Raw genomic sequence first — 27,833 nt, forward strand, 5'->3', positions numbered from 1 at the left:
CAGAAAGAGGAGGGAAGCCCCATCTCATATTGACCTCCCTTGGTCTCCTTGAGGTCTGGCACAGTTCCTTTTCCAACACGGTTAGCTGCTGCTTTTTCACTTCTGCTGTCAAAAATAGTTTGGGCTGAGAGTGCACAGGGATTATATGTCCCAGCTTCATTACATTCAGGTTTTCTACACATGTTCTAATTCTTTAGCTATCCTGGCTCTAACCATTACGAAACCTTGCAGAAGCACTCCTTGCTCTCTGTCTTCCAAGCTTTTATATTTTTGGCCAGCACTATGGACCTTGCAGAAAGCCCTTGCTAAAGGAACTTTGTGTTTTGGACATGTGGAAGTTGAGCCTTTCTTCCTTCCTTGCCCTGGGGAAAATTCTTGCAGTTTCATCATTTGAAAATCTCTCTGCAAGTTTCCTCAGGGACCTGAGAAGCCTTCCTTCTCCATCCCTCCCCCTGCCAATTTTTCAAATGGATCAGATATAAACTAGCTTGTAATTAGCATCTATCTTCTTGGGAAAATCCATCCCAGAGAATGTACCAGGCCCAGTTCCAGTTCTGCACCCTCCTCAGTGCAGGCCAGTGAGCTCTGTTACCTGGCCCCACAGAGTGATTCATCTCCCCATCCTCCCTTGGAGGTTGGAAGGACAGGCTGGGCAAACCAAACATCTATCTGCCCAGGTTATTTGGAATCCTTACACAGGAGTAAGCTGGTTAATAGCCCCCTTCTCCCCAGTGGGGGATTCCAGGTACTTGGTGTTTCCTTCTAAGCAGTGATGCTAACAAGTAGACCAGGAAAGACAGTATGGGCTTTAACTATATAATTTATCACTTAATTTTGGCTTGTCCAGAGTTATGGGGAGAAGTAGGGTCATCGGTTGGACCTACAGAGCATTTGTAAGAATTTAAAAAAGCCTCCCTTTCCACCAGGCTGATGCTGGCCTGATGAGTTCCATGCCCAGTGCTCAGCCTGGCAAATGGATTTCAGCCCCCACACAACCACTGGCCATGCATCCTTGGCCAAGGCCTCATTTAAGCTGCAAGAATGTAGAGATTCAGTTAATTTTGTGTTACATTTTTATAGTAATGACATGATGTAATGTAGTAGTGAGTTTATTTCAAAGGCAAATTCATTTTAATAGTTTTACAAATGACTCTAGTCTCCTATTTATGGAATCAGTAAGGGTCTCAAGTAATCACCTCAATTTTTCAATTGTACTTCATTGAATTTTATGAAGGGAATATATGCTTTTGTATATTCACAGTTTTGGGATTCATCAAGGTCTTAGAACATATCTTTGCACATAACAGAGTTCTATGGTATTTTCAAAGCATTTGAATGACCCTATATTCCTTTTCTTTATTGTAAGGCTACTCTATATAATGTAAGATTGGGTCTGTTTTATTTTTTCTTTTTCATTTTTCTTTAGACGAAGTCTTGCTCTGTCACCTAGCCTGGAGTGCAATGGCATGATTACGGCCCACTGCCCCCTCAACCTTCCAGGAATGCTTGAGCAGTCCTCCCACCTCAGCCTCCCAAGTAGTTGGGACTACAGGTATGTACTACTATGCCTGGCTAATTTTTTTACTTTTATTTTTGAACAAACGGGGCCTTCCTATGTTGCCAGGGCTGGTCTCGAACTCCTGGGCTCGAGCAATCCTCTTGCTTTGACCTCCCAAAGTGCTGGGATTGCAGGTATGAGCCACCACACCCAGCCAGATTGGGTCTATTTTAATATTATTTTACTTAAAACATTACATATCTTCTTTTTTCACATTCAAAACATCTAAAGAGACCTAATTTATACATATATGAGGTTAAACCAGTAGGGGTAGCAAATTTCTGCTTTGTTTTCTATAAAACCATGAAAATTAAATGTGCTGTTGTTAATCATTAATATAATGGGCATATTTATAATAAAAAGGTATGTATTTTATACAAATATGCAAACTAACAGGCTGTATCTTACATCAGACAATTGTATAATGAGGATAATAAATCGTAGGGTATTAAAATACATGACTTCTGAATATTTTTGGGTAAATTTCCAAAATACATTGTCTATTGTCTGGACTCAGAATATAATACCCCAAAGCATGGCATCTTGGTATACTAAGTATTTTGAACTGAAGGAGATTGGAAGAGCCTCAGAAGCAGAGACTCTGACCTTCTCTTGCCCTCTTGTCTCCTGCCCTTTTTATTCCTCCGAAGTGAGGCACGGGAACCCGAATTCCTCTTTTCCAAGGTGTGTTATAGACACTAGAACTTCTGTTCTCCAAAGCAAGCCATAAAACCTAAAATGGTCACTCTCTGACCTTCTCCCTTCTCCCTTGAAGACCTTCATTCCAGAGGGGTCCCACCCCATAATCTAGGGGGAGTAATGTTACACAAAGAGGCCAAGAAGAATCTGAATAAATGCGCCTTGCTAAGTTCCCCTAGTTTATTACTGTTAGATCATAGTGTTTTTTTGTCCAGTAACATTTCTACATGGCTGTCCATTCTTCATTGAATACAAGCACAAAAATACAGTTTTCCCTGGGTCTTTGGGTCTTCATTTCTGAAGGTTCCTGTGTCAAGTAAAACTTTGATTAGATAAATTTATGATTTTCTCTTTAAAAAATTTTATTATTATTATTATTATTTTTGAGACAAGATCTTGCTCTGTCACCCAGACTGGAGTGCAATGGCACAGTCACAGCTCACGGCAGCCTTAGCCTCCCAGGTTCAAGCAATTTTCCTGCCTGAGCCCCCTGAGTAGCTGGGATTATAGGCATACACTGTGCCTGGCTAATTTTTAAAAATTTTTGTAGAGAGAGGGTCTCACTATGTTGCCCAAGTTGGTGTTGAACTCCTGAGCTTAAGCAATCCTCGATTTCCCAAAGCTCTGGGATTACAGGGATGAGCCACGACACCAAGCCCTCTTCTCTTGTTAATGTGTCTTTTGTTATAAGGGTGTCAGCCTTGGACCCTGATATGAGTGAGGAAAAGATATTACACCTTTTTACCCCTATACTATCTAACATAAAGCTTAGCTCTTTATTGAAGAAATCTGTTGATGTACATGATCTACAATTCCAAGGAATTGAATGTGTATTAAAAACAAATAAGGAAGCAATTATCCTGGAGTAATTTGGCCTCTTTAAACAGTATACATGGTAATAATTGAGTAATTAAGGAATTTAATGCAGGTGAGTTGTAAACTAATTTAGCTATGAGCATCAACATCTTAAACCACAACTGCAGGAAATGCTTTATAAATTAAGCACCTTTTGATAACTTGAACTGTCTTTGTAATTCATTATTCTTCACTCCCCATTTTTAAAAAAATCTTTAAAAGCAGATGACATGCTGGGATGCCATAACATTTCCCTTGTAATCAATCTATAATGGTAAGGGTCACATTTCAATACCCGCAGTATAAAAGCAGTGCACTCAAGAGCTTGAGTTTAATGTTTTACCAGCATAGCATGGGGTAACAGTTAATGTTTTTATTTTAAATAAAAGATTGGAATTAACTTTTTAAAAAAATGCTGGACTCCTGGCTATGAATATATACTAACTGATGAGGTGAAAAAGAATGTTTTATTGTGATTAAGAGCTAGAGATGAAGGCAGTTTAAATTAGTTTTTAGAGCAGTTTAAATACATGCATAGCAGTGATCAATAATGAGCAATGATGTAGTGGCAGGCCACTATGTTCCAGATGCCACTGTATTCTCAACAATGGGAACATATTATTACCAGCAGGGCATATGACATGGGCAAGTGGGGGCAAAGGCAGTGACGTAACAACTTCACTCTAGGTATTGAAAGAGGATGTGAGAAGCATCCGGGGGCAATAGTACAAAAGGGCGAAGCAACAGAAGAGAAATAATCTGGGAAGCACAGCAGCCTTGGGCATGCAACAGTGTTTTCCATTTTATTATTTATTATCCTGGAGTTATGCAGGATTTCTATTTGCTAGGAGAGGTATTAGTAATAGGAATTTCTTTGAGTGATTTGGAGGTGAACAAATCTTTTCTTTTCTGTGAGCTACAGTGGTTACTGCTCTGAATTTTGAGTGACTGACCAACTACCGGCTTCTCATCCATCTACCTTTTGGAAGAAATAAGGCTTTTAAAAATCAACTTATGGTCTAACATCAGAGATGAGCAATTCATGATGCTTTTTCTTTTCTTTTTTTTTTTTTTCAGACAACTTCTTACTTTGTTGCCCAGGCTGAAGTGCAGTGATGCGATCACGGCTCACTGCAGCCTCGACCTCCCAGGCTCAAGCGATCCTCCCACCTCAACATCCCAAGTAGCTGGGACTCCAAACGCGTGCCACTATGCCCGGCTAAGTTTTGTATTTTTAGTAGAGATGGAGTTTTGCCATGTTGCCCCGGCTGGTCTCGGACTCCTGGGCTCAAGCAATCTGCCTGCCTCTGTCTCCTGAAGTGTTGTGATTACAGGCATGAGCCACCGCACCTGGCCAAGATGCTTTTTCTGTTTCTGAGATACAATGAACTATATCTTAAGAATTCATAAAGCCCTAAAAAGTAAATATTTACAACCAGAAATCTTTCTGACAAAGAAACAAGATTACTCAAAGTAAGTAGTAGTTTGGGCTCCCTGGAAAGAACCCAGAACTTAAGTGTCAGGAAATGTGGATAGTTCTGAATGTGCCCCTGGCTGGTTGATGACTCTGGGCAACTTATGCAGTACCTCTAACTCATGGTTTATTTACCTGAAAAATAAGTGGGTTGGCTATGTCTGTGGTTTGAAAGGTGCTCTATGATGTCCCAGATGTCTTAGCAGTGTATCATTGGCTGTTTTGGAGGCTGTCAGGGGTCCAGATGGCTGCTCCCACTGAGCCTGCTTTTAACAGAGCTTTTCAGTTTGTATTTCTTGTATACACAAAGTAATATTAAATAAAAAAAATATAATCCAGCTAAGAAAGTTTGAGAATACTGGCTTGAGATTCAAAATAAAATAAACCAAAAATTTTAGAAATTATATTAGTCTAGAAAGATAGTATTGTGTCTCTTTGTCTTTTTAGTACCTAGCACATATCAGGTACTTGATACATATTTATCATATGAATGCAATGGTTGTAATGAACAACTGGGAAGGAAATGCAAAAGCAGAAGGCACCATATTTGTGTTGCTATTCCTGGGTGTCATTTCTATGTAACTTGTGATAACCAGTAGTAAAGAACAACATGGACTATGTTTAATAGACAACAACTAATTTTATTGGATTTGTGTACATAATCTGAAATTTAGTCTAAGGACAAGCCATATTACTATAAATTCCAGGAAATCTAGAGAGAAAAAATGGGCAATTTAGAACAGACTAGAAGAGTAACTCTTTCAGTTTGTCTGGAAAACCGAATCTAAGGAATAAGGTCAGTTTGCAGTTTCTTTCAAGTAGAATTGGTGACTCTTGGATGCAGTTTATAAACACGTAACACATTTTCCTTGCATGGAAATATATCTATTCTATGACCTCTTCTACATGAAGAAAAGATTTGAAATTTTCTTCTCCATTAAATAATGTTTTGTGTGCATGTTGCAAAAATAAGAGAGAAGCAAGAATAACTCTAGCAGATGCTTAAAGGTTTAAGATTAAAGACACATGTAAATGTGATTCATAGTGGGTGTTCTGTGCACTTGAGTGAATATTCCCAAATCACAGCTAGAAAAATTTAGGAGTAAATTGACTTAACTTATGGTAAATCAATAGGGGTCCCTGAATTGGAGGGAAACAGATGAGCAAGAAAAAAATTATTTGACAGGACTCCACTAAGGAAAACAACATTCAAGTAACAGATGAGGTATTCTACTGCCCAGAGGAATTACCCAGCCTTTAGCAAGGCGAAGTCAGCCTCAACTGGCAGGAGGTTTGTTTTAAAACTGAAATGAGAAAAAGGATCTGGGCTTACAAATGATGGGAAGATATATTATCAACAGGGAAAAAAACCCCCAGAAAATAGCAACTAACTTGTTTCCCCAGCACAACTGAAAGGATGAAGAAGGAAAACAATTTAATGTACCCTGGTCATGCAGTTACTTTCCTTTATCCTTACTAACAGTGCTTGTCAAGATGGTTCTGGAAACTGAATAAATGTAAGTAATGAATCATGATAGACATTGGTGAAATGCTTTATTTCTATTTCTCTGGGTTCATTGTTTCTTGTTTGACTTTCATGGGAAGTTTACAGTCGTTTTCGTTCTTCCAAAGTCAGTTCCTGACTTCTCTGGTCAAGGGGTTGAAGAAACAACTAGGAAAAAGGAGATACAGTCTCTGTTCTCTCTCTTTCTTATTTTCCCTCTCCCCCAGCCTCTCTCTCCAATATATCAACATATCAATAGCACTGAATCATGCATGGACTCTCAGGTTTTAAGCTTGACTGTCAAATTACCACCCTGACTGTTTAATATGATGATGGCTACTGCTGTATTTGAAACAGCCACCACATTCTCCAATTTTAATGAACTTTCCTCTGAGCAGATGGTCTTATATAATATGCACAGGGTAAAAAATAATAATTTTAGCGTTTCTACTTATAATCCCAATGTCCACGATTCTTTATTTTCATTGCCTTTACTTTAATGGTTATTAGAAGTGAAGGATTGTTTTTCTGACTTAATTGGTCTACTTAACTTGATTCTTATAAATAATAATATATTACCATGCACTGTTATTATTCTTTCTTGTCCTATATCAAGGTATAGGTAGATCTGCTTAATATCTAGTATTTCCAAAACAAAAGAGAATTAATTACCCTTAATAACCAAATCATTTAATCTAGATATGTTACTTTTGCTTTAGTTCTTGTTCTTACAGACTCAGAAGATGAGTTGGAGTTGGCTTTAGCACCATGACCAAGTTCACTTGGAAGTGATTAAGACAGCACATGGTCAAGTTAGCTGTTGAAGGCAAAATGCCCAGGGTTGAGAGTACCAATAATTATGAGCAAATCCTTTTTAAGTTTTAGCACTTTTCTCTGCCAGTACATTGATCTGTCATAGAAAATGTCACGATTGTAATTCCAGGGATCATCTTATCAAGTTTTATTTCAATCATAAAGGACTGAAGTTTTAATATCATCAGTGTTATTCAGGGCCTTTAAAGCTTTTATCATTTGTGAACATCCTAGATTGCTATGGATGTTTGGGGGCCTGGGTATAATTGTTAGGGACAGAGAGAAGCAACAGACTAGTATTTGCTGTGGAGGAAAAGAGAGCCGGCTGAGAAGCTACTACTTATTGACTAGTGTTGTCTTCCACAGCAATGTCATGGGAGTGATTTGGTGGGAGCGCGTAAGACAGAGTCATGGCACTTATTCATATCATGGATTTCTAGGGACATTGTTATAGAATTAAATAGTTTTGGAGGTAGAAAATTACTTCTTGATGTGCTACATATAAATCAAGGCATAGGAACTGTCTTCATTTATGCCTGCTGTCCTGGCATAATTATTAATAACACCTGTGGGTAGCCAGCCTGCAAGACGGTGCCTCATGATCCCACCTTCCGGCATTCACACTATATGTAATCCCTTACCACATTGTATCACAGTTGGTCTATTTAACCATAGAATAAGGCAAAAGTGAGAGTACATCACTTCCGAGATTTGGTGATAAAAACACTGGTTCCATCTTGCTCTTGCACTCTCTTTCTCTTTCCTCTCTCTCTTTCTTTCATCATTCACTCTAGGGGAAGCCTGATGCCTTATCAGGAGCAGCCTTATGGTAAGGAACTGACGCCTTCTACTAGCAGACATTTGAGCGAGCTTGGAAGCATATCCTCCAGCCCAGTTAAGCCTTCAGATGGCTAGGGTATGGGCCTGTATCTTGACTGCAGGTTCATGAGAGACCCTGAAACAGAACCAGGAGCTAAGCCCTCCCAAGTTCATGTCTCTGAGAAAGCATGTGAGATGATGTGTGTGTGTTGTTTTAAGCTGCTAAATTTGGGAGTAATTTGTTATAAAGCAATATATATAAAAATATAGCACCCCATTTACTCCTAAAAGTGTCTTGATTTGGATGAAAAACTATAAAGTCATCCTATGTTAACAGAAGTCTAAATCATGAATGTATTAGGAGTTTTTCTTTTCTATTGACAGAGCTTTCACCATGACATTAGTATGGAGACACTTATGGGGAAAGTTGTCAGGAGAGAGGCATTTGATAGTGTCAGAAGTCTAAATCTCTAGACTTAGAATCATGAAAAACACTATGACAAAGTAGATAAGAATGGTTGATTTTTAAATAAAATTTTCCTGTATCTGACACCACCATTCACTGGCCTTCAAGAGGCATTTAACTTCTCTCTGCCTCAATTTTATCATGTAAAAAATGGGGATAATAATAGTACCTTCTTCATAGAATTTTTTTGGGATTAAATATGTGTAAAGCACTTGCAACGATGCAGGTGTTCAATAGGAGTTATTATTATTGCAATGAGGAATTAAGATGATCTCTTTCTTTTGTTCCATTTATGTACAAATAGATAGTCCCCGTCCAGTGATATTCTCATTGATTTATGCCTTAAATATTTGTATGTTCCTACTGTGTGCTAGGGACATAAGATAGAAATATGTCACCCCTTAAGGAAATTACAAAGTAGTTGGGAAAATTCCCATATGAGTTTATATATATTATTTATATTATATGATATATAAATTAAATATTTATACATATGTATGAATGGATTATATATGTGTGCATTAACTATAAAAATTATTAAAGTTAAGGACTAGACGATAGATAAGGTGTGGGTTGGATACAAGGGAAAATGGGAGCAAGTTAGAAAAAAATATGAGGTTTTAGAATTAGAATGGAATGGGTTTCTGGGCATGGCAAGACACTTCGAAAGAAATGAAATGTAGGAACTGGAAAGCCTGCATAATGTGTCTAGTTGATTACCGTATCTCTAGTTTCTTGAGCAGTGCCTGGCACATAGCATTCGGCAAATACTTGTGAAATAAATACGTACATCTACTATGTTTTCATAAAAATTAAAATAAAAAATTGAAAAAAAGATCATGTCATTTGTAAGCAAGGCTAATTTGACTTCTTTCTTTCCTATTTGGATGCCCTTTCTTTCTCTCACCTAATTGCTCTGGCCAGGACTTCCAGTGTTGTGTCGAATAAAAGTGGTAAAATTGAGCCCCAGAGCAGGTTGCATTTCCGCAGTGGCTCCTTTCTCAAAATGGCCCTGTGCTACAGAAGTTTGAGTCCATGCAGCTGCATGGATTCTAGGCAGCTCCCTAAACCGGACATAGGGCCTTTTGTAGCCAGGATTGCAGGTATTCATGGTAGTTATAGGTATTGCTGGGGATCTCCCACTTAGCTTTTCCCCATAATGAGAAGTTCCCCTTTGTCTCTGTGACAATCCCAGCTGGGTGCTTTGCTTCCCTTTCTATGCTGCTATCCTGAGTTTCCTTGTCTCAGAGCATATTGGTCATTTCCTTGCTGAATTGCAGTGTTCTCCCTTAGACACTCTACCCAAAGTGCAGTTATCTAAGTTTGTTGTTTTAGTCCTTCTTTGTGGAGATGAATGTTGGGCACCTCAGATCAGCCATCTTGATGCTGTTTGTCCCTTGTATCTTGTATTTTATGGGAATTATATTTTTGTATTAACATAAACTATTGCGTTATACAGCTTTTTGCACAAAGAGAGTGATAAATTTATTTATCATGGGTTTTCACTTTTTTTTTTCAAAATTATACTTCTTTAAGAGTGAGATAATCCAATAAATAAACATCTTAAGGTCATCTTCTCCCAGCTCTGCCTCTGTACACTTTCCTTTTATGTACAGTATAGAAATTCAGTCACTAGAGATTTAGCTATAAAACTTTTCGGAGGTATAAGTTGTGCATTTTATTAACAAGAAAAGAAATAGGATGGATTTTTTTATCTGTCACAGATCTTATACTAGAGAAAATGTTGCAGAGTTTTACTGGGGGCTGTACTGTTTTAACCTTAGAGTGATTAATGACACCTATCAATACCCTAAAAATCATGTGTCTATGTATTCATTTCTTTCCCCTATAAATCAATTTGTCATTTAAAAATTAACATTAAAGAAGTTTTATGTTACTAAGAGATAGTGAGCTACATCAAATAAGCTTAATATAGAAACAATGTAGAAAAAAATTTAATAGCCATCCAGTGTATTCTCTGAAACAATTTTATTTTCCATGATAAAGGCCTCCTGTGGTATTCTTTTTAAAGCTATCATAAACACATACCAACCATGTAAAATTGAACTCATTATTTCCCTCTGGAAGAAGAAAAAATAACTCAAATGATGAATTCTACATCTAAAATGAAATATACAAACTTTAGAGAAGAGGTAATTTCTATTTAAATTGTTTGATTCATAAGAATTATATTATAATTTATTATTGTTTCACTAGCTAGAGTTATACAAGTTTGAGAAAGGAAGGAGGTTGGTGGGATGAGGGTCTTATTTCCTTGTAAAATTTCCCTGTCTTTGTTTTTCAGTGTTATTAACTAAATTCTAAAAGCTTCATATAATCATCTGATACATACATCACATCAATTTCAGCCTAGGTGAGCTATGCCCCTTTCTCTTTAAAGTTGGTGTATGCTTTTGGTACAAATCCTTTAAGGCAGTAGTGTCAATTGGGTGATATTTGGGAATCTGACTATTTCTGATTGCTTTTCAGGATGTTATGACTTTATCCTAAAGCCTGGGAGAAATAAGGAAGTCCTAGAGTTTGAGTAGTGTATTTGCTGACACACCTAAGGAGAACCTGGAAGCATGAGATATATCTGCTTTTCTGAGTGCCTGTGGACTTAAAATAAATTGGCTTCTAGGGTAAACAAGACTAATGTGGAAGCCCAAGTAGTCCATAACAGTGCAGTTATCTTCGGCATCTGTTCTGAAAACCATACTTGAGTTTAAAGAAAACTTTAGGATCTCATTCCCTCTATCCCACAGAGAAAGACTGGCTTTTTTTGTTTGTTTGTTTTGTTTTGTTTTGTTTTGTTTTGTTTTGTTTTTGAGACGGAGCCTTGCTCTGTTGCCCAGGCTGGAGTGCAGCGGTGCAATCTCAGCTTGCTGCAACCTCTGCCTCTCGGGTTCAAGCAATTCTCCTTCCTCAGTCTCTCGAGCAGCTGGGACCACAGGCACGCACCACCATACCTGGATAATTTTTGTTGTTGTTATATTTTTATTGGAGATAGGGTTTCACCAAGTTGGCCAAGCCAGTCTCGAACAGGAGTTCGAGACCACAGGGGATCCGCCCACCTCAGCCTCCCAAAGTGCTGAGATCACAGGCCTGAGCCACTGTGCCCAGCTGGCATTTTCAATATAACTTTTGTGCCAGTTTCACAATTTTTGTGGCCAAAGCTTGTAATTGATCCTACTTTTTACTGAAGATGGAAACCTTTGTCCTGTTCACTTTAGATAATAGCAGTCCACTGAATTTTATATAATTTGCATTGGATGTTGGAACTTGAACTTTATTATCTTTAAGCATACGCAGAGCTTTGATATTCTATATGCATTCACATTTGTCTTTTCTATTTAATATTTTCTATTCACTAGCTATTAAAAAGCAAAGTAATTTTTAAATACTATGGCTGAAATCTTCATTTGACAAAAATGAAAAATTAGTGGGTTTTCTAAGTGACATAATCACTTATGGAAACAGGAAGAATGGAGTGTCATGTGTTGATGAAGGATAAATTGCCTGTGTGAAGAGATATGTATTTTTGGGTGAGAAATTGATATCTCTATTTAAATGAAAGGAGGGCCTTACCTGGAAATGTCTTTCATACTGACTGAGTGGCATAATGCATAATTATCTGTTACAGTTGTTGTTGTGGTTTGTGTGTAGGTTATGATGTTCATTTGAAGAACATCCCACTTATAAGGTTCATATAATACAAGATATAAAGAAGCTTGATGCCCCAGAGTTTTAAAAGCCATTAATCATAGTGAATTAAGACAGTTAATCAAGCCTAAGACACTGATAAAAGATTGTCCCTGAGGATTTTTACCTTGAAAACATTTAGAAAATGATAGTTTCTTCTTTCTACTTGACTGCTTTAGTAAGCCAATTCATTTTCTTCAGAAGCTCAAGGTCAGTGATATGACCCTGTCATCTTTAAGAGATGTTTTCCCTCACTCATGTTAGCCAACTTCAATAGTTATGACTGATGGTGAGAGTGGTACTATCAAGAAATCATCACATTGCCTGGCAAGAAGTTAGATAAAGAGAAAAACCAATAATATTGCAGATTTCAATTTCACTTAAAATAAATATATTTTATTGAATATTTGTACCTTAAGATGCAATTAACTTTTTTTTTTTTTTAACAAAAAATCGTCAGTATTTCTCTATTATGAGAATATGCAGAAGAACTGAGCTAGGCCATGGTATATTGCCCTGAGAAAAAAATCAAATAAAATGTTTAACTGGGTTAATTTTTTTACAAATTATATAATTTCTGTAATTAATTTTAAATAGAATTTCTTAATCAGTCTTTCCCCTTTGATTCCCCAGGCTCTCTATGGTGGCAAATTATTTCAGCACTAAATCATGAAGGCTGGATTCTTGAAGCCTGGCAGAGGCAAATGTCTCATTAATGCTGATCTGAGAGACATCTGTGATGAGCCTGAACATCAGGCCAATCTGCAGAGCTGATCAGGGGCTGCTGAGTGGTTCTGAAGTGAGTCAGGCTGTGAATGAAGACTCCACCAGAATGAGGTGATTACATCTCTGTTTTCAGAAAATGACCTCATAACCCCCAGACTGACATGTTGAATTTCTCAAGGCTTAAGTGTACATACTTCCAATATATCGCCCCCCTACAATTTGAACGTAATTAAAGAATTGAGTCAACTTTCAGGATAATTCAAGCTCCTTAAATCCACTTTGCCTTGCATATACTGGAATTTAGATAACCTTGAAATTTGTTTAAATCCTTTATTTACTTTTATAGAGACTTTCTGGCCTCAGATGTAATAGTGGCAAATTCTTCTTTCCTAAATTGTGCTTTTTTCTTTTAAAAAGAAGAAAGAATGCCTAGGATTTGTGGTAACAAATCATATTGAAAGAGGAATTTAAGCAAATAACCATCTTTCTCTAGCAATATATGTCTGGCCTAGAGCATATTACTGGAATACACTTCATAGTGAATGGCAAAGTAATAAAAGAAAAAAAGCTATTGGAAGTAGGTGACGTTGTAAATAGTAATATTTTCTGTAGTCCCAGCTACTCAGGAGGCTGGAGAATTGCTTGAGGCCAGGTGATCGAGGCTGCAGTGAGATATGACTGCATCTGTGAATAGTTGCTGCACTCCAGCCAGGGCAACAAAGTGAGACTCCCATCTCAAAAAAAAAAAAAAAGTAATATTTTGCTTTCACTGTCTTCGTTGCTAAAGAATGATGGTTAAAAGAAAATTTTATCACTTAAAAATGAATTTGAAACATTAAGCTGAAAAATAAAAGCCAGACATTGTTATAGCAATACAAAATTATACTTCTGAAGAATTTGAACTACTTATCGTGTACTTTTGCAGCCATTAACTTGTTTTTCTGTCTTTGTCACTAAACCCCACCATTTCTTAGGCATAAATCCATGCTGATTTTTACTCATTTATCAATGACAAGGATAACACATATTGAAAACTAGTTGAAATAGATTTAAAAACTGGTGAATAGACGATGAACATCGATGCTTAATTAATAACATAAATTAAAATGGTTAATAGGTTGGTTTTATTGGCTTTTCTACTTTCAACTTTTAGATATTAAAATTAATGTATATAGAGAAATGAAAAATTTGATATTTAGTTATCAACAGACAGGATCCAGGAGGATAATAATTTAAACCAAGAATACATACAATAATATATAGAACTCTTTCTACTTTGAATATGAAGCAAGATCATTCATCTTATAAATTAGCAATTTATTACAACAGTACTAATTATACTTATGCTGCTATAATTAAGCCATGCCATGATTAAGAGTCTGTCTGCCTTTCCAATTATAAATAAATATTTTAAGCCGTTATCTCAGGATTCCATGCTGTTTTCAGGGAAAAATTTTTCTTCATCAAATACAAATCAAACAAATTACATGAGGAAAAATGTGCTATCTTTTGCAGGTTTCAGTATAGTGATATGTGGCAATTAAGACAAGGGTTCATAGTCTTAATTATCTTGTGTTAAGCAGGATGGAGAATACAGCAATAAACATTTAAAATAATTAAAAAAAAAAAGCCTGGGAAGAAATAGCTTTTGGGATTAAAAGAGTTTACTGTCAGGCTTTATTCCACTTCCTGTTAAGCTAGCCTTCTTTGCCAACTTTTTGAACTTAGCTATAAGATAGAGCTGCAAATATATCCAAGAGCTTATTAATAAGGGGATATAGTTACTATGTGCTACGTACAATATCTCCATATAGACCAAGTTAACATAATTGACAGCAGCACTTAATCCAACTGGGATTGATTAATCTTACCCAAATAACCTTATAGGGCACAGTAGATCAACCATTTAATCCCACTGATCATCAAAAAATATTTACATTTACCACATTCATGGTACTCTATTAGTATTTCTCTTCTCAGTGATCATTTATTGAGCAACATACCTGCTATGCAGATTGCTAGGTTATGGGGGTAAAATGGATAGCTCCTATTCTTATTGAGCCTATAGTCTAATGCAAGAGCTAGGCATGCAAACAGACACATGCTCTGTATAATATTTACTATGGGAGAAATAGCATAAGGAACTTTGAGAACAGTGAAAAAGAAGAGTACTACTTAACCACAAGGGGTGGAGAAGTCAGGGCGGAGTCCCAGAAGAGAAAACAGCCTGCTTAAGTTTTAAAAGAAGTCAAGGTATTAGTTAGTTCAAAAAATTAAGGAAGGCCATCCTGGGGAGGGGACTCACCAGATAGAGGGAAGATTTGAGCAAAAGGATAGGATAATAGTGTTAATGACTAACACGTATTTAAATCTTTGCTTGATGCCAATTGTCCCCTGGTTTCTTTTTTACACATTTCCTTCATTTATTTAATCCTAACAAGAACTGAATGAGGTAGTAGTGTTATTTTCATTTTACAGATGAAGGAACTGAAATTTTAAGATGCTAACTTGTTAAGGGCAAACAACTTATGCTGTGTTAAGATGAGAACTTAAACCTATGTTTATATGACTCCAAAGCTCATGCTCTCAATGTTCTCAAGTAGCACCTGCACAAAAATGATGTGTTACAGGAACTGTATGTTGTTCTGAATTCATTTGTTCATTTATTCAAGAAATATTTGCTGATCCAGGCACTATGCTAGATCGTAGGGATACAAAGTAAATTCAGAAATGGTTTCTTTCAGGAGGAATTTTTGGCTCAATAGGATAGATATGGCTTATAGATAGGACAGGCAAACAGTCCCTTGAGTAAATAGTGTCTTAATAATTATAGTGTCTTAATATTATAGGTGCTTTGTTAGGGTATATATGAAATTCAATAGAAAGGTAAAGTTTTGTTGGATATGGGGAGTCAGTAGAGGGTCAAGAAAATATTAATTGAGAAAATTGTGTAATCTGAGTCCTGAAAAATGGGTAGGAAAAAGGAGGGCATTCCAGATAACAAAACAAACTGAGAAAAGCCATAGGAATATAATAGCCTGGATTTGGAAGCAATATCCAATAATTCTGTGTGATTAGGGTGTACAGAGTGACATGACCAAATTTCGAGGGAATGGATAAGAAAAAATGTTTTTGAAGTAGAATAAACAGTATTTGATTATCTTTGGATGTGGGAGTGAGAAAAAGAGAGGAATACACAATAACTCATAGACTTGTCTTTGTTGGTTGGGTGGCTGGTGAATATGATAAAAAATTGAGTTGAAATTGGATTGGGGAGAGATAATAAGAATAGTTAGTTTAGTTTTATATATGTTAAGTTAGGCAGAGATAGCTGCAGGCTCTTGACCTAGACTTCAGGACAATGTCTTGGTTTATAGTTATGAGCAGATCTAGATTTATAGTTATGAGCATATAGAAGGATGATTTGAAGTTGCAAAAGTAGATGAAGTCTCTGTGGTGGCATGTCACAGAAGAAGAAGATCAAGCATAGAATTGTGAAATATACCAATCTTTTAGTAATAGCTAGAAGAATAAGAGCTTAATGAGATATTAAGATGCAATGGTTAGGTATACAGTCAGAGAACCAGGAGACAGTGATATCATTAAAGTAAAATTAAAAGAGAGTTTAAAGATAATGGGAGAGATCTAAGTTTCTAGATGCTCCAAAGAGGTCATGGAAGATGAAATTTGTGAAGAGTTTTTAGAATTTGGCATGTGTGTGATGGCAACATTAGTGAAATAGTAAAGTTGTGAACAGAGGAGAAAACACTGAAATAGTTGTTGTCGGAACTAGAAATGATCTGGCTAGAATAAGGATTATGTATATGGGGCTCAGTGGAGATCAGAGATCCAGAATTCAGTGCTATCAGTTGGCACATTGATGTGGTTTTCTCAAGAAGCTCTCAACAGCCAAGGTATAAGATCAGAGAAGGCTAATTGTTAAGTTTATCCAAGATTGAAAGTATTCAGAATGGCTGTGGGAGAAAGATAAGGGGACTAGTATCAGTAATGAGCACATGAGGAAGAGATTAGTTAGAAGGTTGCATTATGGAGTTTAGGGAAGTGAGGGAGGGAAGCAAAGCCATGTGGGAGTGATGATGAATGAGAATAAAATGGAGGGATCAAGCATCTAAAGAGCCTTGATGAAGGCTACCGTAAACATTACTTCCTGAGAAGCCCCTGACCCTCAAGTCCGGGTTGGGTGCCCCTCAATAAGCCCCCATAGCATCCCGTACTTCCCCTATCATAGTTATTTCCATTAATTTCTTGGGTTGTTGTTGTCACTAGGCTACCAGCTCTGTGACAACAGGGACCTTGTCTGTCTCATTCATCCCTGTTTCTCCAGTGTCCCACCTGGCACATGTAGGTGGTGGAACAAATAAACACGAGATAGTGAAAGAGAAGGAGGAATATGAGTTTATATTCAGATTAATATTTTCGAATTAGGATTTCAAAGTTGATGCAGTTCTGGTTGATGACAAGGTCCAGACTATGGTTGAAGTCGATACAGCATAGTTGAAATCTGGGAGGTCATGAAGATGTGAGGCCATGGTATTATATGGATCATCTGCCTAGGTATTAAGGCTGTACAGAATCTTAGGAAGACTGGAAATAAAAGGAACTTGGGAGCCCAGGACATAGTTCTCACCCAATGAGGGTGAATAAGCTAAAGTTCAGTAAATTAGGGCAAGGGAGGAAATAATGTGGAAAAACAGAATGGCACAACCTTAACAGAGAAAGAAAGTTTTCATGAAGGTGTGAGTGACCATGAAGACTACTTCAGGAGTATGGGGTATGGGTTGAATGAGTTGTGTAAGGCAGGAGGGCTAAAGCAGTGATCAGATGGCAACGAATCTAATAAAGCCAGCCAAGGATCTTGTTTTTTGTTCCATGAATATTACAATACAAAAGATACAAAAATATCCTTAGATTTTAAAGTGTGTCAAGGTAACTTTGGAAGAGTAGGGTAGTCAAACAAACAAACAAACAAAAAAATAAAAAACCACAGGATTTAAAACTGTGGAGACAGGGACTCTGTATTTGCCTCTACCATTGCCAGTTTCTAGTTGAATGTTGGTGGTCAGTTTTCTTAACATTTTATGTGTGAAATGAAGTCATTTGATTACTAGTTTTTAAATTCTTTTGCTTGGCTTGCAAAGTTTTGTAACCTGACACCATCCTACCTATTCAGCATTCCCTGTATACGTCAATGTGACATGCCAGGTTAATATACAAGATATCTTAAGAATACAGACAGTTCATTTATATTTTAATACTTTTGTTAGGGGTAGAAGGTATTTGAGTTACCAGCAGTGAATCTGAACGGATGTGCAACAACCTCAATTCTTGCCTCCTCAGAAGAAAAAATTTGACTGATGGGCATAAGGCAGTAAAAGAGACCAAGGCACATTTTAGAGCAGGAGTGGAAGTTCATTTAAAAAAGGTATTAGAGGAGGAAAGAAAAGAAAGTACAAGTGGAAGAGACCCAAGTGGCCAAGCTGAAGGACAAGTGTGACATTTATACTTGATTCTAGGACTTTATATATTGGCCCACTCTCGGGGTCTTGTGCCCTTTTCCTCTGGTTCCTCCCTTGGGGTGGGCTGCCTGCATGTGCAGTGCCCTCATTACACTTGGCAAGTGAGCATGTGTAGTGTGTTTAGGAAGTTGAACGTGTGCCCATCTGGGACTTTCTTCCCTTTTCTGGTGGAATGCCATTTTGTCTCTTACTGAGCATGCCCGGCTCACTTACCCAATACCTGAGATTTTATTATCAATTTCAAGTGTTTTTATCTGGGAAGTTGCCTCTCCCTGGTGCCTGCTCTCAATTAACACTTTAATGTGACATCTGTAGACCATCAGGAGATTGTCTATACCTGGCTTGGCTGCCAAATTATCATGTTTAGAGAGGCAATGTTGGTATGGACAGGAAGCAGGGAAATACTGGGTAGAAGAGGGTGGTTCACTGGCAAAGGCCCTACCTTCAAGCCTGGAAACTGCGGCTCTAAATGGGAACAGACATTCCTGTTTTTGCAACCAAATCTTGCCTTTCGGCCCACAATGCCCCCTATCCTATACCCATATAAACCCCAAACCCCAAACCCCAGGTTCCATGAGTGGTCAAGCAGAGGAGCAGAAGAGCAGCAGAGCGGTGTGGTAGAGAAGGAGGAGAAGAGAAGGAGCATCTGAATGTCAAGAGGAGTTCCGCTGGGGACAGCCAGGGAGATTGGCTGCAGGAGACGGCCAAACTCCAGAGGAAGATAATCTTTCCACTTCATTCCCTTTCCAGCTCCCCATCCATCCTGCTGAGAGCCACCTCCACCACTCAGAAAAATCCCTGCATACACCATTCTTCAAGTCAGTGTGTGACCCGATTCTTTCTGGATGCCAGACATGCACCTGGGTACCAAGAGGGCAGGGTGTAAAAGGCTGTCAACCTGACTCTCCACTGAGCTGGTTTAATACTTAGCCATCCGTGGATGGCAACTGCTAAAAGAACATTAGTTGTAACACACCCCTAGATGCCGCCATAGGTCTGGAGCCCAAAAGGGCTCGCCCTGGCTCCTGCACCTGCTTTTCTGCCTGCTCCCCCTCCCATAAAGGGTTTGATCAGCAGCAGCAGCAAATGAGTCACACCCCTGTCACAAGTGGTGCAAGGGGGTCAGAGAACTCTCCCCTTTCAATGTGGTAATTACCCAACTATCACCTGATATTCCTGTTGGGTAGGGGAAGAGCCCTTTCCTTCCCCAGTCATGCCTGTTTAATTACCTGTAACACTCTCATTCATTGTTTCCTTTTCTTGGAATATCCTCCACATGTCTATACATTTACTTACAGCCCAGCATAAGTTCCCTTTTTATTTATTTATTTATTTATTTATTTATTTTTTATTATTATACTTTAAGTTTTAGGGTACTGAATGGGCAAAAACTGGAAGCATTCCCTTTGAAAACTGGCACAAGACAGGGATGCCCTCTCTCACCACTCCTATTCAATATAGTGTTGGAAGTTCTGGCCAGGACAATTAGGCAGGAGAAGGAAATAAAGGGTATTCAATTAGGAAAAGAGGAAGTCAAATTGTCCCTGTTTGCAGATGACATGATTGTATATCTAGAAAACCCCATTGTCTCAGCCCAAAATCTCCTTAAGCTGATAAGCAACTTCAGCAAAGTCTCAGGATACAAAATCAATGTGCAAAAATCACAAGCATTCCTATACACCAACAACAGACAAACAGAGAGCCAAATCATGAGTGAACTCCCATTCACAATTGCTTCAAAGAGAATAAAATACCTAGGAATCCAACTTACAAGGGATGTGAAGGACCTCTTCAAGGAGAACTACAAACCACTGCTCAACGAAATAAAAGAGGATACAAACAAATGGAAGAACATTCCATGCTCATGGGTAGGAAGAATCAATATCGTGAAAATGGCCATACTGCACAAGGTAATTTACAGATTCAGTGCCATCCCCATCAAGCTACCAATGCCTTTCTTCACAGAATTGGAAAAAACTACTTTAAAGTTCATATGGAACCAAAAAAGAGCCCGCATCACCAAGTCAATCCTAAGCCAAAAGAACAAAGCTGGAGGCATCACACTACCTGACTTCAAACTATACTACAAGGCTACAGTAACCAAAACAGCATGGTACTGCTACCAAAACAGAGATATAGATCAATGGAACAGAACAGAGCCCTCAGAAATAACGCCGCATATCTACAACTATCTGATCTTTGACAAACCTGAGAAAAACAAGCAATGGGGAAAGGATTCCCTATTGAAGTTCCCTTTTTCTATAAAAGCTTCCCTGCCTACACCAGTGTTCACTCCTGGCTATCCCTTCTGAATGTCAGTAGCTCTGAAGGTCTGTTCCACTACAGTTCAGCACTTACTCTTTCATACTGTTCAATGTTTGATGGCATCCTAGACAGTAAAATAAAATTCCCTATTCTGGAAGCTGGGAGCTTTGAGATCTAGTTTCTGTTGTAACTAATATTGTGCTCTTGTACAAGAGGTTTCTTATCTTTAAAATGAAGGGATTTGACTAGAGAATAACTTTCTTAGTTTGAGTATTATCTAAAAGCAGAGCCAGAGAAAGAGTTTGTGTGCAGGTGACTTATTTTGAGCAGTCATACCCGGAAGAAGGAGGAAGGTCCTGGGGAAAGCGGGACAAGGAAGGAGGAAGAACTATTATAAGGGAACATTACTGAGGCTACTGATGGGGGCAATGGGATTCCATCCTGTTGGGACCTCCCGAGAAGCATACAGAGCACCTCCAAGAATTCCTTTCCAAAAGAAGGGAGATGGGAACATTTATTAATCAGCTCCACCCCCCATAAGCCCAGAGTTGTCCTTGGGGATGCTTCTTCTCCTGAGTTTCTGAGCTATACACATTAGCTGCTGATCTGAGCTACCTAGGGGCAGAAAGCCAGGAGGCATAGCACATCTTCAAGGTGAGATACTGTCAGTGTGAAGTCCAAGCCATTCACCCATAGCCGAAATTAGAGTAGAGGCTGAGAGGGAGTGAGTCTGGGTACTGCCAATTTCAAAATTCTGTGAAACAATGACACATTCTTAGATAAGCTTTATATTTTAATACCATAGATAGAGTGACTTGCTTTTGGAATGTTAACTTTCTATTCAAAGCTGAGACACAATTTAGTAAATCTGGGGTAGGCAAAACTCCTATTGTCTCCGAAGTTGGATATTTTAATCAATTCTAATAGTGGTAGCCTAAAAACTACTAAAAGGAAAAAGTTAAACAAAATCTCTATAGGTTATTTAAAGTGACCCAACGAATGACTTTTGGAGAGACTGAAACAATGCCTCAGAATGACCTCTTCTAAACATGACAAAATCTCTAGGAAGATTATTTAGACATTAAATAAAGAGATTTGGAAGTGAAATGTAACTAATAACTACTTAAGATGCAGGACCTACACATTATATAATTTTAAGGGAAATTTGCAGAATTAGAGAGGACATCAGTTGCTATTTCATGATAAATAAGTGCACCTTGGAGAGCTCCAGAAATGGAAGATGACCCAGAGGAAGCAATTCCTGGGCAAGAAACCACCATGTAGAAACCTCAGTATTGATATTTCTCCAAGACTTGAGACAATACTTTTATGCTTGCCCTTCTTTGAAGATTCTATTATGGTTGAATTTTCACAACCCCACCTGAAGATTTTTAATTTCGGGGGGATTTCAATTGCTGAAAGGAATAGGGGTATAAAAAAAAAATCATTTCTTGGCCATGCTAGCTTATTGGTTCCCTTGAAATCTTGCTCCATTGGGTACCTTTTCTTGGTATAGAAGGGCTAGTAGTAAAGTATTTCTTGGAGGAGGATATAATGCTCAGGACCAACTTCTGTTCTTCCTGGTGAGTTTCAGATTTCCACCTGGACTCAATTTCGCCATATTTTTCTCCCACTTATACTAGTCCCCTAAAGAAATCTCCATGTCCTTCATCCAACTGCTCTTATGATAATTATAATCTCCAGGTCTTTACAGGTATCTTTAGTGGAGGAGATGAAGGGAGAGAGAAAATAATCTCCTGTCCATCTGCCTAAGCCTCTTGGTTTCTCTTCCCTGTCAAGCTAGACTTGAGCACCATCCTTAGCTGGAACTGAGCTGCCATTGCTGTTTTTCTGCCTTGCAGTGGCCCGTGGTCAAAGATTAGACAGGGTTGTGTCTTTGGTAGTAGCCATCCTCCCAGTTGCCACACCAGAAATCTAAAGGTCATCCTTGAAAACTCCACCTCAATCCCTCTGCGTCACTGACATCTAATAATCACAAAATCCTTCAAATTCTACCTTCTTAATATTTGTCTACTTTCCTCCATTCTTACTGCCTTTAACTTTGCTTTTCTTTTCCCTGGATTCTGGAAATTGCCTCCTACTATCTACTTAACACCTTGCTCCCTTCAGTCTTTCACTGACCAGCTAAAATAATATTTTCAAAAGACCAATCCAATAGGCTTCATCTCTTGAATAAAACCCCTTCAATAGTTCCTTCATTTACCCCAGAATAACATAGAAGACCCAGAGTTTATTTCTCCAGCCTCCTCCATTGCCACTCCCTACTTTTCATTCTATGGTACACCTCTGGTGTATTACTTGCAGTTCCCCATGCAGGCTGGACACTCAGTTACACTCATGTTATAATAGCATCAGAGATGCTACTGAAAATATTAATCACTTGCAGTGGCATTGGCACTAAGCAATCAAAACAGAGAACAGTCCATTCAGAATGGATATTGGCTGTGAACATCTGTCTAAATACCCGCCCTGAAGAGTCCCCATGTATACCCACCTAGCATTTATTACAATGTGTTGCTAGCTTACTTGTTAGAGTAAAAGCTTCTTGTACATAGAGGAAGTATCTTGTTTCTGTTGTATTTCTGACTATGTTATAGAAACTCAAATTTTTTTAGTTAATTTAATGAATGAATTTAGCAACTAAACTTCAGCTCAGGGATCTGTTTGTGAAATCCTGTTCTTCATCATGTTATACTGAATTTTAGATAAGGGAGAAAATGGAAAAGTAGATCATCCTTTGAACATTATCTATACTTTAGGTACATACAGATTTGTCTCTCCTTTAACCCTCCCCACAAGGCACTCCTAGAGTGAGAAGATGATGGATAACATTACTACCTTTTGAATAATTCATAATGTAGTCACTTTTTGTGATTTTTGGCTTTGCATTTTTCCTGAATTGCTGAATTTTGATTCTTAGACAGCTAAAACTTCAGATATTCAATTTTGCGGGACATGATGAGGCTGCAAAATGATAATGAAGTCTGTTTATCAGTAAAGTTCCTGTGTATAGTCCACAGCTCCTGTGGACTATAATGGTAAACTCTTGTTTCTCTATCTTAGGCAATATCTCTCATCTTATATAGTTTTCTAGAACCTTGGCATTTCCCTATCAAGAGATGGATTTTATGTCCCCTGCCTTTGAAGGTGGGTTGGCCTTTGTGACTGCCTCAACCAGTAGAATATGATGGAAGTGAGGCTTGATGACTCTGAAAGTAGGTCATAAAAATATAACACTCTTCTGTTGTATTCTCCTGGAATGTTTGTTCTTGGAATCAGGCTGCGAGGAAGTGCATACAGATATGTGGAGATGCCACATGTAGGATGTCCAGTTGCAAGCAATAGCCAGCATTAACTTCCAGATATGGGAGTGAATGAACTTTCATATGATCTTAGACCCCAACTGTTTAGTCACTTTTTCAGGGTTGAAGGCTTCCCAGACAAAGTCCCAGACATCATGGAACAGAGACCAGCTTTATTCTTTCTAAATTCCTGGCCCTGCTTAGGTCTCTAAGCACTGTATAAATATTATTGTTTAGGACACTAAGTTTGGTGTGGGGTGGTTTGTTAAGAAGAAACACATAACTGGACTACACATCTATGCCTTCATCTTAAAGGTAGTGAATTTTGTAAATGTAGTGATTGAAGTTTTAAAAAGTATGTGTGAAAACTTAAAAACAGTATTTCCCTTTCCTTAACAATCCATCTGATGGCTACAGTTATATTAACCACATTTCTGTGTTGATTTAAATTTCTAAGGAGAATTCCATGCATGGAGATTCAAATAAAGACAAAAGGGAGATGCAACTATGGAGGCTGAGAAGTCCCACCATCGGAGCGCCTCTGCCCCGCCGCCCCATCTGGGATGTGAGGAGCGCCTCTGCCCGGCCGAGACCCCGTCTGGGAGGTGAGGAGCGTCTCTGCCCGGCCGCCCCGTCTGAGAAGTGAGGAGACCCTCTGCCTGGCAACCACCCCGTCTGAGAAGTGAGGAGCCCCTCCGCCCGGCAGCTGCCCCGTCTGAGAAGTGAGGAGCCTCTCCGCCCGGCAGCCACCCCATCTGGGAAGTGAGGAGCGTCTCCGCCCGGCAGCCACCCCGTCCGGGAGGGAGGTGGGGGGGGGTCAGCCCCCCGCCCGGCCAGCCGCCCCATCCGGGAGGGAGGTGGGGGGTCAGCCCCCCCGCCCGGCCAGCCGTGCCATCCGGGAGGGAGGTGGGGGGGTCAGCCCCCCGCCTGGCCAGCCGTGCCGTCCGGGAGGGAGGTGGGGGGGTCAGCCCCCCGTCCGGCCAGCCGCCCCGTCCGGGAGGTGAGGGGCGCCTCTGCCCGGCCGCCCCTACTGGGAAGTGAGGAGCCCCTCAGCCCGGCCAGCCACCCCGTCCGGGAGGGAGATGGGGGGGTCAGCCCCCCCACCCGGCCAGCCGCCCCGTCCGGGAGGGAGGTAGGGGGGTCAGCCCCCCGCCTGGCCAGCCGCCCCGTCCGGGAGGGAGGTGGGGGGGTCAGCCCTCCGCCCGGCCAGCCGCCCCGTCTGGGAGGTGAGGGGCGCCTCTGCCCAGCCGCCCCTACTGGGAAGTGAGGAGCTCCTCTGCCCGGCCAGCCGCCCCGTCCGGGAGGGAGGTGGGGGGGTCAGCTCTCCGCCCGGCCAGCCGCCCCGTCCAGGAGGTGAGGGGTGCCTCTGCCCGGCCGCCCCTACTGGGAAGTGAGGAGCCCCTCTGCCCGGCCAGCCGCCCCGTCCGGGAGGGAGGTGGGGGGGTCAGCCCCCCGCCCGGCCAGCCGCCCCGTCCGGGAGGGAGGTGTGGGGGGGGTCAGCCCCCCCGCCCAGCCAGCCGCCCTGTCCGGGAGGTGAGGGGCGCCTCTGCCCGGCCGCCCCTACTGGGAAGTGAGGAGCCCCTCTGCCAGGCCAGCCGCCCCGTCCGGGAGGGAGGTGGGGGGGTCGGCCCCCCGCCCGGCCAGCCGCCCCGTCCGGGAGATGAGGGGCGCCTCTGCCCGGCTGCCCCTACTGGGAAGTGAGGAGCCCCTCTGCCCGGCCAGCCGCCCCGTCCGGGAGGGAGGTGGGGGGGGTCAGCCCCCCTGCCCGGCCAGCCGCCCCGTCCGGGAGGTGAGGGGCGCCTCTGCCCGGCCGCCCCTACTGGGAAGTGAGGAGCCCCTCTGCCCGGCCACCACCCCGTCTGGGAGGTGTGCCCAACAGCTCATTGAGAATGGGCCAGGATGACAATGGCGGCTTTGTGGAATGGAAAGGCGGGAAAGGTGGGGAAAAGATTGAGAAATCGGATGGTTGCCGTGTCTGTGTAGAAAGAAGTGGACACAGGAGGCTTTTCATTTTGTTCTGCACTAAGAAAAATTCCTCTGCCTTGGGATCCTGTTGATCTGTGACCTTACCCCCAACCCTGTGCTCTCTGAAACATGTGCTGTGTCCACTCAGGGTTAAATGGATTAAGGGCGGTGCAAGATGTGCTTTGTTAAACAGATGCTTGAAGGCAGCATGCTCGTTAAGAGTCATCACCAATCCCTAATCTCAAGTAATCAGGGACACAAACACTGCGGAAGGCCGCAGGGTCCTCTGCCTAGGAAAACCAGAGACCTTTGTTCACTTGTTTATCTGCTGACCTTCCCTCCACTATTGTCCCAAGACCCTGCCAAATCCCCCTCTGTGAGAAACACCCAAGAATTATCAATAAAAAAATAAATTAAAAAAAAAAAAAAAAAAGACAAAAGGAAACAGAAATGCATTTTTCCCCCTTTTCTTCTCTCTTTGAGCAAGTCTAACCCTAAAGAAGCCAAAAGGAAGAATATGTCAAGATGGGACATATTTGAATGGGAGGAAAGGTAGATATGTTCCTGTTGAATATTCTAAACTCTCCAAATATTCAAAACCCCATTTTTGCAGTTTTCTCCTTTTTAAAGATACATCCCTTTTGGGGATTGAGCAAGAGGGCCAAATAAAAGTCTCCACTAATTGTCCTCTCTGCAAGAACACCAATTTAACAACTATCTACACACAGAAAAAGCAACTTCATGAGAACTAAAAATCAGGTAAGCACTCACAGTACCTGGTTTTAACTTCATATAGCTTAAAGAGGCACTAGAAGACAGTAGGAAAGACAGTCTTGAATCACCAGCACCACCCCTTCCTCATTCCTTGGCAGTGGACATGTGGCATAGAGAATCTGTGTGCTTGGGAGAAGGAGAGCACAATGATAATAAGATTTTCATTAAACTTAGTGCTGCCCTGTTACAACAAAAAGCAAAACCAGGCTGAACTCAGCTTATGCCCATACAGTGTGGGAGAATTTAAACTAGCCCTAGCCAGAGGGAAAATTGCCCATCCCAGTGGCTGGAACTTGAGTTCTGGCAAGCCTCACCACCATGGGCTAAAGGGCTCTGGGGCCCTAAATAAACTTGAAAGGTAGTCTAGGCCACAAAGACTGCAACTCCTAGGCAAGTTCTTGTGATGAACTGGGCTGAGAGCCAGTGGATTTGGGGGATATAGGACCTACTGAGAGACCAGCCTGGGTGGCTAACAGACTCGCACCATGCCTTCCCCAAACCCAGGCTGTATGGCTTGTGGCTTCAAAAGATACCCCTTCCTTCCACTTGAGGAATAGAAAAGGGAAGACTAAAGAGGACTTTGTATTGCATCTTGAGTACCAGCTCAGCAACAGGAGGATAAGGCACAGGTTAGAGCCATGAGACCCCCTTTACAGGCCCTAGCTCCCAGATGATATTTATAGATACACCCTGTGTGAGAAAGGAACCCACTCCCTTGAAGAGAAGGACCCAGTCCTGGCAGCATTCATCACCTGCCAAATAAAGAGCTCTTGGGCCCTGAATAACCAGCAGTGATAGCCAGGTAGCATGCCATGGGCCTTGGGTAAGACTCTGAGACTAGCAGGCTTCAGGTGAGAATCAGCACATTCCCAGGTGTCGTGGTTATGGGGAAAGACTCCTTCTGCTTGAGAAAACTGGAGGGAAAAGTAAAGGGCGCTTTTAATTGCACATTAGATACCAGCTCAGCCATGGTGGGTAGAGCACTGAGTGGGTTCTTAGGACCTCTGATTCCAGGACTTGGCTATTGGATGACATTTTTGGACCTGCCCTGGGCCAGAGGGAAATCCACTGCCCTGAAGAGTGAATCCCAGGCCTGGCAGCATTTACCAAAACTGGTTGAAAAGCCCTTGGGCCTTAAGGGAACATCATTGGTAGCCCAGCAGTATTCCCTGTGGGCCTGGGGTAGTGGTGGCTAAAAATGAAGAGCCTCTGCCTGTGGAAAGGGGAGGGACAAGTGGGAAAAACTATGTCTCATGGTTTGAATGCCAGCTCAGCCACATTACAATAGAACACCAGGTAGACTTCTAAGGTATTTGACTCCAGTCCCTGGCTCCTGGACAGCACCTCTAGACC

The 27,833-nt window shown here is 40.6% G+C and overlaps 1 long non-coding RNA gene across 2 annotated transcripts; it reads left to right on the top strand.

Moving 5' to 3' along the window:
* The first annotated feature begins 1,430 nt into the window (after nucleotides 1–1,430).
* Nucleotides 1,431–24,568, top strand: LOC105370475 (uncharacterized). 2 transcript variants are annotated; one of them, XR_943817.4, is made up of 5 exons: nucleotides 1,431–1,552; nucleotides 4,190–6,103; nucleotides 10,494–10,562; nucleotides 12,524–12,727; nucleotides 24,199–24,568. It is a non-coding gene; the product is annotated as an uncharacterized LOC105370475 (long non-coding RNA). The 2 variants fall into 2 exon arrangements; XR_943818.4 differs by lacking the exon at nucleotides 24,199–24,568 and having other exon boundaries at nucleotides 4,190–4,585; nucleotides 5,991–6,103; nucleotides 12,524–12,820.
* The last annotated feature ends 3,265 nt before the right edge of the window (nucleotides 24,569–27,833 follow it).

The sequence above is a fragment of the Homo sapiens genome, chromosome 14 (assembly GCF_000001405.40).
Source record: "Homo sapiens chromosome 14, GRCh38.p14 Primary Assembly".
NCBI lineage: Eukaryota > Metazoa > Chordata > Mammalia > Primates > Hominidae > Homo > Homo sapiens.